The 20834-nt window shown below is 43.8% G+C and overlaps 1 protein-coding gene across 1 annotated transcript in view, besides 1 other annotated feature; it reads left to right on the top strand.

The window, feature by feature from the left end:
• The window catches only part of CPN1 (carboxypeptidase N subunit 1), a 39677-nt gene continuing 21136 nt past the window's right edge, over positions 2294-20834 (top strand). Inside the window, exons 1-5 of the mRNA NM_001308.3 lie at positions 2294-2760; positions 8056-8252; positions 14294-14449; positions 18793-18975; positions 20438-20549. Coding sequence (NP_001299.1) covers positions 2538-2760; positions 8056-8252; positions 14294-14449; positions 18793-18975; positions 20438-20549 — 871 coding nt within the window. The 5' untranslated portion in view covers positions 2294-2537. The remainder of the gene's footprint in view (positions 2761-8055; positions 8253-14293; positions 14450-18792; positions 18976-20437; positions 20550-20834) is intronic.
• Positions 7102-7161: a silencer, noted in NCBI's record as "silent region_2701". NCBI's record gives its function as "represses an Ori minimal core promoter by ATAC-STARR-seq in GM12878 lymphoblastoid cells {active_cell/tissue: GM12878}" and the evidence as "EXISTENCE:reporter gene assay evidence [ECO:0000049][PMID:35858748]".

Here is a 20834-nt window from a genome sequence, read left to right as displayed (position 1 = left end):
TATCAAGCTGACCAACTATTACCATCACCCAGTTCTAGAACATCTCCATCACTCCAATAAGATCTTCCTTGGATCCAGTTTGAGTGGCTGATTCATCCGTTAGAAAATAAATCCCTCATGCCCATTTACAGTTAATTTCCATTCCCATCCCCAACCTCAGGGGAACATTATTTTACCTTCTGTCTCTATAGGTTTACCTTTGCAGGACATTTCATATAAATGGAATTATACATTATGTGTTTTTTTCATGTCTGGCTTCTTTCACTTTGCATAGTGTTTTTGAAGTTCATCCACATTGTAGCATGTAGTCGCATTTTATTCTTTTTTTTGCTGAATAGTGTTCAATTGTATGGTTATATCATATTTTATTTATTCACCAGTTGATAGACATTTAGGTAGTTTCTACTTTTTGCCTATTATGAATAATGCTGCTGTGAACATTCTGTGGGCAAGTTTGTTCTATTGGGTACATACCCAGGAATGGAATTGTTGAGTTGTATGGTAAATTTATATTTAATTCTTTCAGAGGGCTGTACTTATTTTTTATTCCCTTTTAAAAACAGCTTTATTGAGATACAATTTGCATATCATAGAATTCATCTGTTTTAAGTATGCAATTCAATGAATTTTAGTATATTTATCGAGTTGTATAGACATCACCATCACCACAATCTAATTTTAGAACATTTCTATCACTCTAAAAAGAAATTTTGTGTCCACTTGTGGTGTTTTGGGTCTGGCTTCTTTTACCAGGCATGTGTAAGATTCATTCACATTGTACAATATATTAGCACTCCACTCCTTTTTATTGTCAAATACTATTTCATTGTATGGATATGCCATATTTTGTTTATCCGCTCAGTGGTTAATGGACATTTGGGTTGTTTCCACTTTTTGTCTCTTGTGAACAATACTGCTATGGACATTTATGTACAAGTTTTTGTGTGGATGTGTGTTTTCATTTCTCTTGCATAGGTACCTAGGAGTGAAACTGTTGTATTATATAGTAAGTATATATTTAACCTTGTAAGAAACTGCTAAACTGTTTTCCAAACTGGCTGTACTATTTATTTGTTTATCTTTATTTTTTATTTTTTTTGAGATGGAGTCTCGCTCTGTCACCAAGCTGGAGTGCAGTGGCGTGATCTCAGCTCACTGCAACCTCCTCCTCTCAGGTTCAAGCAATTCTCCTGCCTCAGACTCCTGAGTAGCTGGGACTACAGGCGTGTGCCACCATGCCCAGCTAATTTTTGTATTTTTAGTAGAGAGGGGGTTTTGCCATGTTTGCCAGGATGATCTCGATCTCTTGACCTCGTGATCCACCTGCCTCGGCCTCTCAAAGTCCTGGGCTACAGGCATGAGCCACTGCACCTGGTCTGGCTGCACTATTTATGAGGGTTCCAGTTTCTCCCTATTCTCACCAACATTTGTTATTGTCTGTCTTTTTTATTGTAGCCATTCTAGTGGAGGTAAAGTATATTTCATGTGTGATTTTTGTTTGTTTGTTTTTTGAGATGAGGTCTCACTCTGTTGCCCAGGCTGGAGTGTAGTGGCATGATCATGGCTCACTTCAGGCCCCACCACCCAGGTTCAAGTGATTCTCTGCCTCAGCCTCCCTAGTAGCTGGAACTACAGGCATGCCATCACACCCAGCTAATTTTAAAAATATTTGTAGAGGTGGGGTCTTGCTATGTTGCCCAGGCTGATCTCAAACTCCTGGGCTCAAGTGATCCTCCCAATTTGGCCTCCCAAAGTGCTGAGATTATAGGCATGAGCCACCATGACTGGATCTCATGTGGTTTTAATTTGTATTTCCTTAATGACTAATGACACTGAACATCTTTAAATGTGCTTATTAGCCATTTGTATATCTATTTTGGTCAAATGTTTTGCCCATGTTTTAATTGGGTTGTTTGTTTTCTTATTGTATTGTAAGGATTCTTTACGTATTATGGGGGTATTATCGGATACATGATTTACAATTGTTTTCTCCCAGTCCGAGGCTAATCTTTTCCTTTTCTTAATGGCATCTGTTGAAAGATTTTTGAGGAAAAAAAGGACAAAATACAGCCATGCTTCAGAAAGATAGGCAGGCAGCAGTACGTGGGATGGATCAAAAGGGACAGAGAACTCTTTTTGAAAGTTGTAATAAAAGGAACAGGCACAGGCCAAGTTTTAAAAAATTCTCCAGGAATCAAAGGGTTATAAGCAGCTATTTATTGAAGCCTGTTTACAGTCCAGTTAACCAGTAAACCAGAATCAGTGAAACTACCCATCTGGGGAAGTGCAAAAAACCTTTCAAAAGGCTTTCCTGGATTAGAGAAAGAAAGGGAGTGAGGGAGGAGAGATGAGTGGCTATTCCAGAACGACATAAAGAATTTCCAGCCTTGGACGGACAGCTGGGAACGTCTTCCAATTTGGACTGGTGTTTACAAGCGGGAAGCTAGGTGGACCTTGGATTTTGGCGGGTGAAGAGGCTAGGTTGTTTAAGGAGGTGGGGCGCGTTTCAGTGGCTCTCTTTGAAAAAGCCCAGCAAGATGTCAGACCTGCTCTCAGTCTTCCTCCACCTCCTCCTTCTCTTCAAGTTGGTTGCCCCGGTGACCTTTCGCCACCACCGCTATGATGATCTTGTGCGGACGCTGTACAAGGTGCAAAACGAATGCCCCGGCATCACGCGGGTCTACAGCATTGGGCGCAGCGTGGAGGGGAGACACCTCTACGTGCTGGAGTTCAGCGACCACCCTGGAATCCACGAGCCCTGTAAGTTCTGAACAGCTCTTGAGGGTGTGTGGGGCAGGGCCTTTCCCTTGCAAATCCAGTAATTGGAGTGGTTTCTGGGGTGGTCCGTGGACGCCTCCGCCTACAAGGTATTATCTCTTTCTCAGCCTGTGCTATTTCCCTCTTAGCCCTCAAACTGCCACTGCCTCTGGGGAGCTATAACCCTCCTTCAGCCTTCAGATCTTTCCTCCTTTTTGGGTTCTGTTTGCTCAAAACTTTAATGGTAAAAGATGAGTCTTCTTCCCTGCTCATGTCCCATATCCCTTCATTTCCCCCATTTCCTTTCTTTTCCCCTTACTATTGTTCTGTCTTTCCCCACCCAATGGCTCAGGAGACATAGGCAAAAACAATGAGCCCTTCTAGTTCTGCCAGGAAACTTAGAAGGGTATAGGGGAATCTCTTCGGGGAGTGACAGTGTGGTATTCCAGAGAGAGTTTGGGGACTTGGGTGTCAGTTTTATTTACTGGATTCTTTTTTATTTTTTATTTTTTTGAGACGGGGTCTGGCTCTGTTGCCCAGGCTGGAATGCAGTGGCATGATCTCAGCTCACTGCAGCCTCCACCTCCTGGGCTCAGGTGATCCTTTCCCCTCAGCCTCCTAGGTAGCTGGGACCACAGGCATGCACCAATACGCCCGGCTAATTTTTGTATTTTTAGTAGAGACAGGGTTTCATCATGTTAACCAGGCTAATCTCAAACTCCTGGGCTCAGGCGATCCACCCACCTTGGCCTCCCAGTGTTGGGATTACAGGCGTGAGCCACCGCACTTAGCCTGGATTCCTTTTTTTAGTTTGTTTCTACTGTAAAAGCAATCCATGTTTGGATTAAAATTTAGAGATTAGATAAGGAAAAAAAATAATAAAACTCACCCCAAATCCCACCACTGTTAATGTATTGATGTATATCCTTCCAGACTTTTTTCTATGCATATTTAAACCCTGACTCAAACACATGTAATTGTTTCTATAAAAATGAAATTGTATTATAACTGCCCTTCTCATTTCACAATCTGTTATGGATAGCATCCATGTCTATAAGTGCAGATCTACATCACTGTGGTTTTGGCTGTGTAATAGCTCATTGCATGACTATGTTTAACTGTCCATATATTGATGGACATTTAAGTTGTTTCTAATTTCTCACTTCTTTCCTTACCAGTTCCTCCTTCAAACTCAACTTCAAATCTCCCTTTACCTCTTCGCTTCCACATCCCCTGCCCAAGTCCAGACTCCATCACAAGCTGCCTACATGATTGCACTGAACTCCCAACTGGTTTCTAACTTCATTTTTTTTTTTTTTTGAGATGGAGTCTCACTCTGTTGCCCAGGCTGGAATGCAGTGGTGCAATCTCAGCTCACTGAAACCTCCACCTCCCGGGTTCAAGCAATTCTCCTGCCTCAGCCTCCCAAGTAGCTGGGATTACAGGCGTGCACTACCATGCCTGGCTAATTTTTTTTATTTTTAGTAGAGACGGGGTTTCACCGTGTTGGCCAGGCTGGTCTCAAACTCCTGACCTCAAGTGATCCACCCGCCTTGGCCTCCCAAAGTGTTGGGATTACAGGCGTGAGCCACCGTGCCCAGCCAGGTCTCTAACTTCGAACTGCTGCACTCTGAATCTTCCATTTGGTACACAGATGCCAGAAAAATTTTCCTAAATCTTGACATAATCCCACTTTCCTACTTTAAAAGCCTCACACTCAATGGACTGGCCATGGGATTCAGAATATTGCATGGAGGAGGCTCATAGAAGGCCATGGGGTTACCTGGGATAATTGCCTCGCTTTGAAACTGCACTTCCATAGCAAGCAGCCTGCTGTCAATCAGATCATATGTTCACTGTGGAAGCTCGTGAGTGTTCATGGACATCATGGGGTTAGCCCCCCAACACTCCAAGCCCCCTTGTTGGTGCTCCTGTACTTTCTAGCTTTCAAGGCCTTCTTTGAAGCTTTTTCACAGGACTCTAGCCCTCACTGTTCCCTCTTTTCTCTGAAGCACTATAACTGCTATTCACCCATTCATTCCTTTAATTCATTCATTCCACAAATATTTACCAATCACCTACAATATGCAGGCACTTTTGTAGACTCTGGAAGTACAGCAGAGAATAAAACAAAGACCCTGCCCTCATGGGCCCGAATTCTAGTGGGGTAAGACTGACAATAAATGGGTAACTACGTAAATACATATTACATCAGATGGAAATAAGTGCTGTAGAGAAAACTAAATCAGGAAAAAGAGATAAGGATGGCATGGAGGAAGACAAGGAGGAGCAGGAGAGGCACTCAGGAGAGGCGTCTCCACTGAGGTGGCTTTGAACAGAGAGCTGAAGGATGGGTGTGATGGCACATGCCGTGCTGATATTGAGGAGGAAAAGATGACGGGCAGAGGGAAGAGCAAAGGCAATGCTCTGGAGCATGCTTGGCACATGTGAGGAACAGCAAGGGGGCCAGTGCGGCTCCAGCCGAGTGAATGAGGGGAGAGCAAGAGAGGAGGTCACAGCCATGTGATGGGGACACCAGGCAACAGGAGATCACGCAGGGCCTCATAGGCCCTGGTAAAGATCTGGGCTTTTACTTTGAGTCAAGTGAGAAGCCACTGGAGGGTTTTTTAAGCAGAAGGGGGAGACGATCTGTCTTAAATTTTGTAAAGATCACTCAGAACAGGGGTCAGCAAACTACAGCCCAAGGGCCAGCCACCTGTTTTGGTAAATGAAGTTTTATGGGAACATAATCACGCCCATTCACTTTTATCTTGTCCATGGCTGCTTTTGCTGGAAGAGTTGAGTAGCTGTGACAGAGACATCACGGCCCACAAAGCCTAAAGGATTTACTCTCTAGTTCTTTATAAAAAAGTTTTGCCAACCCCTGACTCTGGATAATAGACTTTAAAGGGGCTAGGCAGCTGCAGGGAGACCAAGTGGGAGATTTATTGCAATAACCTAATATTGCCAATAGTACCAAGCTTGAAGGTGCAGGGGCTTGAACCAAAATGGTAGCAGTGATTGTTATGAGAAGTGGTTGTGTTCCAGATATATTGAAAGTAGAGGCCAGCTGTGGTGGCTTATGCCTGTAATCCCAGTACTTTGGGAGGACTGCCTGAGGCCAAAAGTTTCAGACCAGTCTGGACAACATAGTGAGACTTGTCTCTGTAATAAATTTTTTTTTTAGAAAATTAGCCTCGTGTGGTAGTGTGCACTTGTGGTCCCAGCTCCTCAGGAGGCTGAGGCGGGAGGATGGCTTGAACTGAGAAATTCGAGAGGCTATCCTGAGCTATGATTGTGCCACTGCACTCCAGCATGAATGACTGAGCAAGACCCTGTCTCTAAATTAAAAAAAAGAAAAAGAAAAAAGAAAAAGGAGAGCCAAAAGAATCTGCCATTAAGCATCTGCTAAGTGCATGGCACTGTCCAAAGTTCTACAGGGCAGTGGTTCCCAGACTTACAGATTTCATAAAGAAGTTAAAAAAAGTGTTGTTGTTGTTTTTTTTTAAATAAATAGGAGACCGGAGGGAACTAAAACAGATCTTCCAAATTTTATTTTACTGAATAAGGATGTGAAGAAAACTACCTGTCATCTACTATATCCATCCTTTTCTAACAGAAAAGACATTTTAACACCAAGAAAAGTAAGAAAGACATAATCTATGATTTAAAAAAATACACTAAGATTAAAGAATACTCGCTATGGAAAATCCACCACATGATCCTTATGGATTATAAGCATTCCTTTGAGAAAAACTGCTGTAGGTATACTAAGATAAATAATAATGGATGGTGTCACAAGTTAAAAATTATGTACACTGCTAAGGCCAGGTCCGGAAAAGGAAATAGAACATATATAAAAATAGGTAAAACCCAGCCGGGTGCAATGGCTCACACCTGTAATCCTAGCACTTTGGGAGGCCAAGGCGGGTGGATCACCTGAAGTCGGGAGTTTGAGACCAGCCTGGCCAACATGGTGAAACCCTGTCTCTATTAAAAATATAAAAATCAGCCAAGTGTGGTGGCAGGCACCTGTAGTCCCAGCTAATTGGGAGGCTGAGGCAGGAGAATTGCTTGAACCTGGGAGGTGGAGGTTGCAGTGAACTGGGATTTTGCCACTGCACTCCAGACTGGGTGACAGAGTGAGACTCCATCTCAAAAAAAAAAAAAAAAAAAAAGGTAAAACCGGGGAAGTCAACAGAGAGCTCTCTCTCATCAAGGAGAACCCAAGATGACTTCACAGAGTATCATGTGAACTGGGCCTAGAAGGGTGGTGAGAAGGATTTGGAAATGAGAAGATGAAGAGGTACAGAACCAGAAAAGTCATGGACGCAGGAAAGTATTGGGTGTAAGAAAAATCATTTGGCAAGAGCTTTTCTCCTTCCTCTTAAAAGAGGGCAAGAATGATTTTCTTTAGGTGACCCCAGAAACTTTCAGATCCTCAATTCTTACCTCAAGTTGAACAGTTAACATGGCCCAAGAGAAGACTGAGGAATGAGACATAGCAGGTGCCTTCCTATTCTGTGCCTTCAGATTTGGCCTGCTTAGATTTGAAGGAGTGATTTTAGTTTTCCTGTACTTCAGTGGGGACAATGGAGAACGAGCTCAGTCCTGCCCCCAATCCTATTCTTCATGGTAGGTGGGGTGGGAGGGAGTGGGGAAAACCCCTGCCAGCCCACTGAATCTTAGATCCATCGCTGCGGAGCTGGTCACCTCTGCTCACCTGCTGTGTTCTTGTTCAGATGGAGCAAGAAACTTTTCAAGTGCCAAGAAAACTAAGTTTTCAACTGGGATCATTAGCGGCTGTTACGCTAAAACCTAGAGTACTTCATGAAAACAGGTTCTGGGGAACATCCTTATCCTGAAAGATTTGTCTCTGAGAAGCAGCATGCTACTGTAAATGGCACTGTAAGTGCCACCTGGGCTTGGGCCTCTATAGAGCCATTAGCTAGGCAACCTCAGACAAGTTACTTAACCTCTCCCATCCTTATTACCCTCACCCTGAGGCTATTAATGCCCACTTTACAAGTTTTCTGTGAATTTTAGCAGTATTGAACATAACTGTCTAGTACACTATGGGGGTTCAATACATGGCACTCATTATCATCCCTGGCATGAATTTTTGTAGGTTTTGTAACTGTAATTGGTTAGGAAGGGGCTCAGGGATTATTGCAAAAGACCCAATGAAAGCATGAGATTTTCTTTCATTCGTTACTGAAAAAGAGAAAAAAGGTCCTTCTGCAAGGTTAGGCATCAATGACACTTCCAAGCTTCCCCCATCTTTTCTCTTCCTTGCAGTGGAACCAGAGGTCAAGTATGTGGGGAACATGCACGGCAACGAAGCGTTGGGCCGCGAGCTGATGCTGCAGCTGTCGGAGTTTCTGTGCGAGGAGTTCCGGAACAGGAACCAGCGCATCGTCCAGCTCATCCAGGACACGCGCATTCACATCCTGCCATCCATGAACCCCGACGGCTACGAGGTGGCTGCTGCCCAGGTACGAGGTCCAAGGGAGATGCCGGGGAGAGATCAAGGCCTTCTTAGGAAATAAAGTCCAGTGGACAAGATTCCCTCTCTGTCCCACTGTAAATATCACAAATGTTAAAAGTAAAAGATGAAATGGCCAAGAGAAAAAATCCATCAGAAATATAAGAAAGGATGAAGAGGTGGGTTCAGTCCTACAGCACCTCAGGCAATAAACATGGGCTCTCTCTGAGCCTGCATTCCCTCAACACCTTTCCAGATGACCTCAGGGTTTTATTGTGAGGATTAATGTGGCAATATCTGTGATAACACTTTGTAACCTGGAAAATACTCAACAGATGTGGAGGGATATTGCAAAATAAAGCTCCTTTCCTGGACTTTCAGCATCAAACCCTACATACCTTTCTTTCTTCCACACTACATTTCCATTTGCATTTGTGGAGAAAATAACAAGGACAACAGGCTTTCCCCAGAACTGGGGGTAGGGGGCTAATTCTACATTCTTCATACTTTATTATATTTCCATAGAGTTGTTTCCTCTACTAGTATAGCACTTAGTCTATTGATTCTATATTTTAGAGTTATATTTGCAGTGGGACCGATAAGAAAAAATGTCTAAGGGCTTTCTTTTTTTGGGATAGAGTCTTACTTTGTTGCCCAGGCTGGAGTGCAGTGGTGCGATCTCGGCTCACTGCGATTTCTGCCTCCCAGGTTCAAGCAATTCTCCTGCCTCAGCCCTCGAGTAGCTGGGTCTACAGGCGTGCGCCACCATGCCCAGCTAATTTTTTGTAGTTTTAGTAGAGACGGGATTTCGCCAGGTTGGCCAGGCTGGTCTTGAACTCCTGGCCTCAGGTGATCCACCCACCTCAGCCTCCCAAAGTGCTGGGATTACAGGCGTGAGCCACCGTGCCTGGCAGGACTTTTTACTTTATTTTCTAACATAAATTCAAAATGTCAGCGTGCCTAACATTTGTCTTATTATTATTAGTAACATCTTAAGTGTTTCAGATCGATATGCGTAACTTTAAATCAATGGTTCTCTTCTGTGGCTGTGCATCAGAATCACAGATGAAGATTTTGAAGTACAGATTCCCAGGTCCCACCGCAGGCCTACTGAGTAGTATTGTCAAGGGTGAGGCCAGGCATCGATCTGCCTTATGCAATGGAGATGTTCCTTTAAAAGCTGTGTTTAAAAGGCAGGGTTTTCGGCCGGGCGTGGTGGCTCATGCCTGTAATCCCAGCACTTTGGGAGGCTGAGGTGGGTGGATCACCTGAGGTCGGGAGTTCGAGATCAGCCTGACCAACATGGAGAAACCCTGTCTCTACTAAATATACAAAAAATTAGCCAGGCATGGTGGCATATGCCTGTAATTCCACCTACTTGGGAGGCTGAGGCAGGGGAGTTGCTTGAACCCAGGAGGCGGAGGCTGTGGTGAGCCGAGATCGTGCCATTGCACAGTCCTGCCCACATCCTTTGCAGTAGGTGGGGTGGGAGGGAGTGGGGAAAATCCCTGCCAGTCCACTGAATCTTAGAGCCATCTCTGGGAAGCTGGTCACCTCTGCTCACCTGCTGTGTTCTTGTTCAGAGGGAGCAGATCTTGAACCTGAACCCGAGAGGACCCATCAGGTTCTCAGACTCTCAGAGATACCTGCCATGCCCAGAGGCAAGCTGTCTGCGTGGCTACACAGAGAAGAACTTCCTGGCCACCAGACTTTGAAGCCACTTGTAGGTGGCCAGAATAATGCCCCCCACCAAAGATGTCCATGTCCTAATCCTCAGAACCTATGAATATGTTATGTTACTGGGCAAGGAGGAATTAAGGTTGCAGATGGAACTAAGGTTGCTAATCAGTTGACCTTAAAATAACCTGGAGTATTGTGGGGGGGGGATGGGGCCCAGTGTAATCAATTACGAGGGTCCTTTAAATGTAGAAGAGGGAGGCCAAAGGTCACAGTCAGAGAGAGCTCTGAAGATGTTACACGGCTGGCTTTAAAGATGGAAGAGCCTTGGCTGGGCGCCGTGGCTCAGGCCTGTAATCCCAGCACTTTGGGAGGCTGAAGTAGGAGGATCACCTGAGGTCAGAAGTTCAAGACCAGCCTGACCAACATGGAGAAACCCTGTCTCTACTAAAAATACAAAATTAGCCAGGCGTGGTAACACATGCCTGTAATCCCAGCTACTCGGGAGGCTGAGGCAGGAGAATCACTTGAACCTGGGAGATGAAGGTTGCGGTGAGCTGAGATCACGCCATTGCACTCCAGCCTGGGCAACAAGAGCAAAACTCTGTCTCAAAAAAAAAAAAAAAAAAAAAAGATGGAAGAGCCAAGGAATGTGAATGATCTCTAGAAACTGGAGAGACACCTTGCTTTTAGGCCTGTGAGACCCGTTTTAGTCTTCTGACCTCCAAAACTATGAGACAATACACTCGTGCTGTTTTAAACCACTAAATTTGGGGTAATTTGTTACAGCAGTAATAGGAAACACAACACTAGCCCTGTTTATGAAACCTTCTGTTAGGGGAAGCCCCTTCCTGCCAACTTAACTATTGACCAGTGTGCAGGGAAATCAGTGGATAATGCCCATAGCTGTTTATGCTGACAGTCAAGAGTTGCCTTGATATAAATAAGCAAGCAGTGACAAGCCCCTGGAAGCATAAAGAAAATCATTATGTCACAGAAGTGTACACCAAAATGAAAGATCCAATAAATGTTTTCCACTGGAACACAACTGATGTAGGAAACTTAAAGGAACTTCAAAACAATTATGTTTTCAATAGGATCTAAAAATGAAATACAAGCAGGGTGCCATGAAAAGAGGAGAAATCTGAGAATAATACTGAATTCTTAGAAAAAAATGTAATCTGCCGCATTTTATTGGTTAGAAAAGGGAAAATATGAGAACGGCGATTCATCTGTGAGATTGTAGCTTCCCGGCATCCATTCATTCACTTCCAGGAACAGCCAACAATTTGGGCTCCACCTTCTCAGTCTACAGGGACCCAGTTGGCACTATTTCCCTTCTCCAATGCCACACAAAACATTAAATGGAATTTCAATTTTGAATGAGCCTTTTAACATATCTCTATTCTATCACTCTATGTATTTAATTATTTATGTGTGTGTCCATCTCCCCATGTGTACTATGAATTCCTAGAAGGCTAGACTACAATGTCTCACTTATCTCTTTCCCCAGTGTCTATCTGAGAGCTCTGAATAGAGAAGGACTTAAGTAAATGTTGGTTGACTAAATAGATGACCTAATGAGTGAGTGAATACATGAGCAAATAAATGATAAAATCTGAAATATGGACAGAGAAATTAAGGGATCCAGAAAGTTGATATTGCTCAAAAGAAAGATAAGTAAGCATCCTAAATTTTTTGAAGGGGGGAGGAGTGAGTTTCCATAGTGTAACCACTTTGAAAAACAGTTTAACAGTTTCTCAAAAAGTTAAACATAAGGCCGTAGTGGCTCACGTCTGTTAATCCCAGCACTTTGGGAGGTGGGTGGATCACTTGAGCCTAGAAGTTTGAGACCAGCGTAGGCAACATGGCAAAACCCCATCTTTACAAATAATTTAAAATTAGCCAGGTGTTGTGGCGCGTGCCTGTAAACACCAGCTACCAGGAGGCTGAGGTGGGAGGATCACCTGAGCCCAGGAGGTTGAGGCTGCAGTGAGCCATGATCATGCTGTTATACTCCAGCCTAGGCAACAGAGTGAGACCCTGTCTCAAAACAAAAACAAAAACAAACAACAAAAAACAGTTAAACATGGACTTAGCTTATGACTCGGCAGTTCTACTTACAGATATCTACCCAGAGGAAATGAAAACATACATCCACACAAAGACTTGTACGTGGATGTTCAAAGCAGCATTATTAACAATAGCCAAAAGGTGAAAACAACCCAAATGTCCATGAATCTCCCCCTACCACCCTTCGCCAAAATTCGCATTCACCTGAAATCTGTGACTATGATCTTATTTGGAAATACATAGTCATCCTTCAGTATCCGTAGGTGATTGATTCCAGGGCCCCCCACCAATATCAAAATCCTTGGATGCTCAAGTCCCTTATATAAAATGGCATAGTATTTGCACATAACTTATGCACATCCTCCTGTATACTTTAAATCATCCCTAGGTTACTTATGTTACCCAGTACAATGTAAATGCTATGTAAACAGTTGTTATAATGTACTGTTTAAGGAATAATGACAAGAAAAAAGTATGTACATATTCAGTACAGATGCAACCATCATAGGCCTAACTACATTTTCAATCAGAGGTTGGTTGAATCCACACATGTGGAACCCATGGATATGGAGGGCCTACTGAGGGTCTTTACGGATACAATTGAGATGAGGTCACCTAGAATCAGGATGGACTCTAAATCCAGCATAACTGGTGTCCTTGTAAGAAGAAAGAAATTTGCGAATAGAGATGCAGACAGACTGGGGAGGAGGCCATATGAAGATGAAAGCAGAAATTAGAGTGATGGGTCTAAGAGCCAAAGAATGCCAAGGACTTCCTCTGGCCACCAGAACCTGGAAGAAACAAAGAAGGGGACCAGAGAGCGTGCCGCCCATCCAGTTGACTTGATTACAACTTCTAGCCTCCAGAGAATAAATTGGAGAATAAATTGCTGTTGTTATAAACCACCTAGTTTGTGGTGATTGTTATGGCAGCCCTAGGAAACTAACACAGTTTCCTAATACTAATAGTATTAAACTAATACTAATACTGGTGAATGGATAAACAAAATGTGATAAATCCACATAATGGAACTATTCAGCAATAGAAAGAAATGAAGTACTGATACATGCTACAACATACATGAACCTCACAAACATTATGCCCAGTGTGGGGGAAAAACCCACAAAAGAACAGATAATGTATGACCCACTTATGTGATCTGTCCAGAAGAGGCAAGTCTAAGGAGAGATAAAGTTATTACCTACGCTAGGATGAAAATGAGAAGTGACTGTAAATGGGAATGAGGTGTCTATTTGGTGTGACAGAAATGTTCTAAAATTAGATTGCAATGATGATTATACAACTCCGTAAACATACTAAAATTCATTGAATTGTACATTTAAAATGAGCAAATTTTATAGTATGTGAATTATATCTCAATAAAGCTGTTCATAAAACATTGGGGTTCCCATGATCCCGAAACACCCTACTCTTATTAGAACTTCTCTTGAGATATGTACCTCTTACACGTGATCTGCAGGGAACTTGAAGTCCACCACTGTGACTTTGGATAAGTCAAAGTAGAAAATGATTCATCTTCTTGTGACGGGGACTAAAGGAAAAAAAATGCTACATCATTTGATTAAGCTAATATCTAAGAACTATACAATGTGCTTCAAATATAGGATTCATGGCTGCATGTAGTAGCTCTTGCCTGTAATCTCAGCACTTTGTTTGGTTTGTTTTTTTTAGACAGAGCCTTGCTCTGTCACCCAGGCTGTAGTGCAATGGCATGTTCTTGGCCCATTGCAACCTCACTTCCTGAGTTTAAGTGATTCTCGTGCCTCAGCCTCCCAAGTAGCTGGGACTACAGGCACACGCCACCACACCCAGCTAATTTTTGTATTTTTTAGTAGAGATGGTGTTTCACCATTTTGGCCAGGCTGATCTTGAACTTCTGACCTCAAGTGATCCACCTGCCTCCGCCTCCCAAAGTGCTGAGATTACAGGTGTGAGCCACTGCACCTGGCCTCTCAGCACTTTGGAAGGGCGAGGTGGGTGGATCACTTGAGCCCAGGAGTTTGATACCAGCCTGGGCAACCAGCCTCATCTCTACCAAAAAAAGAAAAGAATAAAGAACAATTAGCGGGTGTGGTGGTGTGTGCTTGTAGTCCCAGCTACTCAGGAGACTGAGGTGGGAGGATTGCTTGAGCCCAGTAGGTAGAGGTTGCAGTAAGCCAAGATTGTACCACTGCACTTCAGCCTGGGCAACAGTGTGAGAACCTGTCTCCAAAAAAAAAAGTTAGAAAATATAGTATTCAATCTGAAACCTTCATTTTTCATCTTTTCATTTTCCTTTAGGGCCCAAACAAGCCTGGGTATCTAGTTGGCAGGAACAATGCAAATGGAGTGGACCTGAACCGCAACTTCCCTGATCTCAATACCTATATCTACTATAACGAGAAGTACGGAGGCCCCAACCACCACCTGCCCCTTCCAGACAACTGGAAAAGTCAGGTAGGAGATGAAATTTGCAAACAAAGCAGGTAAATCAGCATCTGGAATTTCTTGCAGAAAGACTGCTAAGCCATCTTTACATCAACTAAACAAGCAAGAATTAAGCATCAACTCAACTCAGTATTAACCCATCTAGAGCAATAATATATATTTCTTCCGTGTCTTTGTATTTATTTTCTCCTCAGCATAGAGCCCTCCATGGAGCACACACTAAGTGATTTTTTTTTTTTTTTAAGACAGAGTCTCGCTCTGTCGCCCAGGCTGGAGTGTAATGGTGCGATCTCAGCTCACTGCAGCCTTCGCCTCCCAGGTCCAAGAGATTCTCCTGCCTCAGCCTCCTGAGTAGCTGGGATTAAAGATGCACACCACCATGCCCAGCTAATTTTTGTATTTTTAGTAGAGACGGGGTTTCACCGTTTGACCAGGCTGGTCTCAAACTCCTGACTTCGTGATCTGCCTGCCTCAGCCTCCCAAAGTGCTGGGATTACAGGCGTGAGCCACCGTGCCTGGTTAAATGTTTGATATTAGTGGTGATTGTGGTGAAGGATATGAAAGCAGTATCATTTGGTTGCATGGTTCTTAACAATTTTCCAGAATTATTTCACAGCCAGTTTCAGTTGATCATGACATCATGTGAAATGCACCAAGCAGTGTTATCCATCTCTGTTTTATAGCTATTACACTTAGAGAGAAAATAATTTACATTCTCACAGGTAGTGATTGATGGAATCGGGATGAAGATGCAGGCCTTCTGATTCTTATTCCAACATTCTTTCTACTACACTAGACTGTGGACAGAAGCATTCTATAGAGACGTCTGTCTTACTCGTGATAAGCTGTGTGCTTACCAACAATTAGCTATAGAAAGAGGCTCAGGCTGGGTGTGGTGTCTCACACCTGTAATCCCAGCACTTTGGGAAGCTGAGACGGGAGGATTGCTTGAGGTCAGGAGTTTGAGACTAGCCTGGGCAACACAGTGAGGCCCCATCTCTACAAAATAAAAATACAAAATTTAGCTGGGTGTAGTGGCACATGTCATAGACTTAGCTATTTGGGAGGATCCCTTGAAGGAGTTTAAGAGTTCAAGGTTACAGTGAACTATTGTCCTGCCTGCTCCAGCCTGGGTGACAGAGCAAGAGACCCTGTCTCCAAAACAAACAAACAAAAAAAAAGTTCAAGGAATCTAACCCTTAGTTTTCGGGACTGGGCGCGGTGGCTCACGCCTGTAATCCCAGCACTTTGGGAGGCCGAGGCGGGCGGATCACGAGGTCAGGAGATCGAGACCATCCTGGCTAACATGGTGAAACCCCATCTCTACTAAAAATACAAAAAATTAGCCAGGCGTGGTGGCGGGCGCCTGCAGTCCCAGCTACTTGGGAGGCTGAGGCAGGAGAATGGCATGAGCCTGGGAGGCAGAGGTTGCAGTGAGCTGAGATAGTGCCACTGCACTCCAGCTTGGGTGACAGAGCGAGACTCCGTCTCAAAAAAAAAAAAAAAAAAGTTCAGGGAATCTAACCCTTAGTTTTTTCTTTTCCCTTTCTTTCTTTTTTTTTTTTTTTGAGACAGAGTCTTGCTCTTTTACCCTCCAGGCTGGAGTGCAGTGGCACAATCTTGGCTCACTGCAACCTCTTCCTCCTGGGTTCAAGCGATTCTCCTGCCTCAGTCTCCTGAGTAGCTGGGATTACAGGCACGTGCCACCACCCCTGGCCAATTTTTGTATTTTTAGTAGAGACAGGGTTTTACCATGTTGGTCAGGCTGGTCTCGAACTCCTGGCCTTGTGATCTGCCCACCTCAGCCTCCCAAAGTGCTGGGATTACAGGTGTGAGCCACCACACCTGGCCCCTTTTCCCCTTCTATATGACCTTTGACTACTTTATCATTACTATACCCTCCCTGATTTCCCTTACTCTTCCAATCAGAGGATCCCATTCCATATTCCTAGGCCTCACTCTCCAAGAGGCCTATAATGGAAGTCCTTGGTAATGTGAGTGGTTTCACCCTGCTGGTGGGCCTGCTCCTGAAAATAACTAGGCATTCTCTAAGCATCACTGCCACCCCTGGTGATCACGCTGTGTGGGATAGTTTGAAATGTTCTATTTGTGAATGTCTAAATTTAGAGACTGGGGAAAGAAAAGCAAAGCAGGTGTAAGCCTTTTAATTGGGAGTTTCCCAAATGGAGTATTCTGGGGTTTTTTTCTCCCTTGAAAATGAAGCAAAAGCCATGCTGACATGTTAGATTTCAAACAGCAACTATCCTCTTGGTTCAAGTAAATAGTAAATAAAAAATAACTTTGTAAGGCTGGGCGCAGTGGCTCACACCTGTAATCCCAGCACTTTGGGAGGCAGAAGCGGGCAGATCAGCTGAGGTCAGGAGTTCGAGACCAGCCTGGCTAACATGGTGAAACCCCATCCTACTAAAAATACAAAAATTAGCCAGCTGTGGTGGTGGGCGCCTATAATCCCAGCTACTTGGGAGGCTGAAGCAGGAGAATTGCTTGAACCCAGATGGCGGAGGTTGCAGATGGCATCACTGCACTCTAGTCTGGGCGACAGATCAAGACTCCATCTCACAAAAAAACCAAAACCAAAACCAAAAAGCAAAGAACTTCGTGTTAGTCAGGATATCCAACCAGAAGAATGTTCTGATGTAATAAACTTGTTTCTCTAAGTAAAATAAGGTAATTGAATCAATGATAACTAGGCTCCCACTCAATCCTCTGTCTAAATTTTAGGGGGAAAAGCAAAGAGGTTTCCCTCGCTCCTGATGGAATATCCTTGAGGAAGAGGAACAGTGAAAAGCTGGCCTTGTTCTGATAGAGGCTTAGGACACAAAGACAGAACTGCCCCAGAGGGTCTGAGCCCTGGTCACAGACCAAGACTGGTGCCCTCGCAATTATATTCATTCTGATTAAGACTCAACCCTATTTATCCAGTCCCCTTGGGATGGAAAAGATGGAGCCTGTAGAGCTGACCTTGGTCCAGAAGGAGCCATTAACACAGTAACACTACATAATCTCTAAACTTGTTCATCCTGAGAGGAGGAAAAATGCTGTAGACTGTAAATTATTTACTTACACTGCAAGTCCCAGTGGATTCAAGGCTTTCTTTGGAATATTGTCACTCACTAGCAATATAATATGCAATAGAAAGGTGGAATTTCACTGCTTAGCCAAGACTGGCCCATCTGACAGTATGTCTAACCCATGAAATTTGGATTTGACCACAGGAGTGTGTTCTACATGTCAATATTACAGCAGGGAGGAAGGAGGTTGAAAACCATCACTGTAAACTAGCATTTTTAAGATTGATTTATTGGAGTCCTAAATTTCTGCTAAGATGACTTAGAAGTCACTGGAGCAGTGGGTAAAATGGGAAACCCTTTTCTAGGGTCCAGAGAGAGGCCAAGTTGGGGCTCTGAGCTCTCCAATCATGATATCTCTTCATACAGAACTTCTCTTTTTTGGCTGGGAATGGTGGCTCACGCCTGTAATCCCAACACTTTGGGAGGTGGAGATGGGCACATTGCTTGAGGAGCTCAAGACCAGCCTCAGTAACATGGCAAAACCCCATCTCTACAAAAAATACAAAAATTAGCCAGGTGTGGTGTTGCATGCCTGTAGTCCCAGCTACTAGGGAGGCTGAGGTAGGAGGATCGCTTGAGTCCGGGAGGTGGAGGCTGCAATGAACTGAGATTGCACCACTGCACTCCAGTCTGGGTGACAGAGTAAGATCCTGTCTCAAAAAACAAAACAAAAAAAAAAACTTCTCTCTCTCTCTCCCTTTCTCTCTCAACAGACTTTATTTTTTAGGGTAGTTTTAGGTTCACAGCAAAATTGAGCAAAAAGTACAGAGTTCTCATATACTCCCCACCCCACTCCACCCACCCCACCATCAACATCCCACCCCAGAGGGGTGTGTTTATCACAGTCAGTCATGAACCTACCTTAACTCACCATGAGCGCTCCCAGTCCATACTTACCTTACTGCTCTCTTGGTATTGTGCATTCTATGGGTCTCAACAAAGGTATGATGATATATAGCCACCATTATGGTATCATACAGAATAGTTTCCTTGCCCTAAATGCTCTCTCTTTACCTCTTTTGTATATTGGGATTCCACATAAGATTTCATTTTGAAAAAAGTTCTATACACGCCATTGTTGAAACCATCATTCCAAAGGTCAACATTTCCCCATCTCCACTTTTCATATCCGCCAGGACGCTCAATGTTTCATTCAGACATTTTATCTCCTCAGGCCACTTCCTGACAGACTTACTCTAACCGCCGTTTGTTTGGTAGCCCCAGTTGGCCCTTCACCGCCAACCTCTCGCCTCCTCCCAGGTGGAACCCGAGACCCGGGCGGTGATCCGGTGGATGCACTCCTTCAACTTTGTTCTTTCAGCCAATCTCCACGGAGGGGCGGTGGTGGCCAATTACCCGTATGACAAGTCCTTTGAGCACCGGGTCCGAGGGGTCCGCCGCACCGCCAGCACCCCCACGCCTGACGACAAGCTCTTCCAGAAGGTATGTGGAGAAGCAGCTTGTCCCGCCAGGGGAACTTGGGGCTCAGGAGGTGAGCTTAAGGTCAGTAACACAGAACCCTTTTCAGTGCGAGGCCACAGAAAATAATTGAAAATACCGCTTGTTTGTGAGGAGCTTACAGTCTAGTAAATGACATTTGGTTTTGAATGATAAGCCATAGATTCATAACAAAGTAAATACAAAGAAAGCTTCATAGTAATTACCACGATGCAGAAAATACTTAGGCTAATGATGAGCAAGAAATATGCCCGAAGACTAATAGCACGAGTGTCATTAAATGTGAATTTTTGGGGGGGTCTAAAGTAGAATTTTATGATAATAAATCCATATTAATGAAAAATAGACTGTGATAGTATTAGGTGGGGCCTTAAAGAAAAAAAGAAAAATAGACTACATGAAAAAGGTTTAAATAACAGTTCAAAACGATATGTTAACATTAATTTTATATTAATATATAAAATGGCATAATATAATAAATTTGTAATTATTGGCCTGGTGCGGTGGCTCACGCCTGTAATCCCAGCACTTTGGGAGGCCGAGGCAGACGAATTGCCTGAGGTCAGGAGTTTGAGACCAGCCTGCCCAACATGGCGAAACACTGTCTGTACTAAAAATAAAAAAATTAACCAGGCACGGTGGTGGGTGCCTGTAATCCCAGCTACTTGGGAGGCTGAGACAGGAGAATCACTTGAAGCTGGGAGGCGGAGGTTGCAGTGAGCCAAGATTGTGCCACTGCACTCCAGCCTGGGTGACAAGAGTGAAACTCCGTCTCAAAAAAAAAATTATATACTAATATATTAATATATAATATATCTATATAATTTAAATAAACATTAATGATATTAAGTATTAATCATTAATGAACTACATGGTGAATAGCACATTGTTTTTTTCTCCATTGATCTCACTTTGTCCACTGTATAGTAAATAGTAATGAAGGAGAATTATAGAGTTCAAATATATTCCTCTCCCTGCAACGCACGACTCTCACCCCCTAAATATGCATTACTTTTACTGGAGAAGTCTTGCCTTACTTACTCCTTGATTTCTTTGACAAAATTCGGCTAGAAAATGGCACAAAAACAAGGGACCTTCAATATCATCTAGTGCAACTCCTCACTTTGCACAAGAGAAAACTCAGCCCCAAGATAGTGACAAAATCAGAATACAGATCTCCTAACTCTAGTCTACCACACATACACTCTCTTAGACACACAGTCACATTCACACACATGCATTCACACATACCCACCTACATATACACACATACACACACACATACACACGCTGTTTCTATCCCTGATCCTATTTTCTTTCACTAAAGCAAATAATCCACTGTTTATATACCCAGCAGGGCTTCTTGGCTTCAACCTAGTTGTGAGTAGGAGCATTGCCATTTGAGTTGGGAATCATCAAGGTCGTTTTCCTCCTGCTTTTCCTCTAGCTGGCCAAGGTCTACTCCTATGCACATGGATGGATGTTCCAAGGTTGGAACTGCGGAGATTACTTCCCAGATGGCATCACCAATGGGGCTTCCTGGTATTCTCTCAGCAAGGGTAAGGGGAGTCCTGGGAACTGCTCAAGCTGAAGTGGAATAGTGCTCATTTCTCCTTCTAAATTCCCAGTTTTCTCAGGGAAACAATGGGAATAGCATAGAATTTTGCACTCAAGTTGAGATCTGGAAAATGAGGAAGTCTCAGGTTGGCATTTAGTGATCATATTGTGATTCTTTAAAACTAAGGTGGGGATGGCTGGGCACAGTGGCTCACGCCTGTTATCCCAGCACTTTGGGAGGCCGAGGAGGGTGGATCACGAGGTCAGGAGATCGAGACCATCCTGGC

This window comes from Homo sapiens, chromosome 10, assembly GCF_000001405.40.
Source record: "Homo sapiens chromosome 10, GRCh38.p14 Primary Assembly".
In the NCBI taxonomy this organism is placed as follows: domain Eukaryota; kingdom Metazoa; phylum Chordata; class Mammalia; order Primates; family Hominidae; genus Homo; species Homo sapiens.
This window is presented reverse-complemented; position numbering and strand designations above follow the sequence as displayed.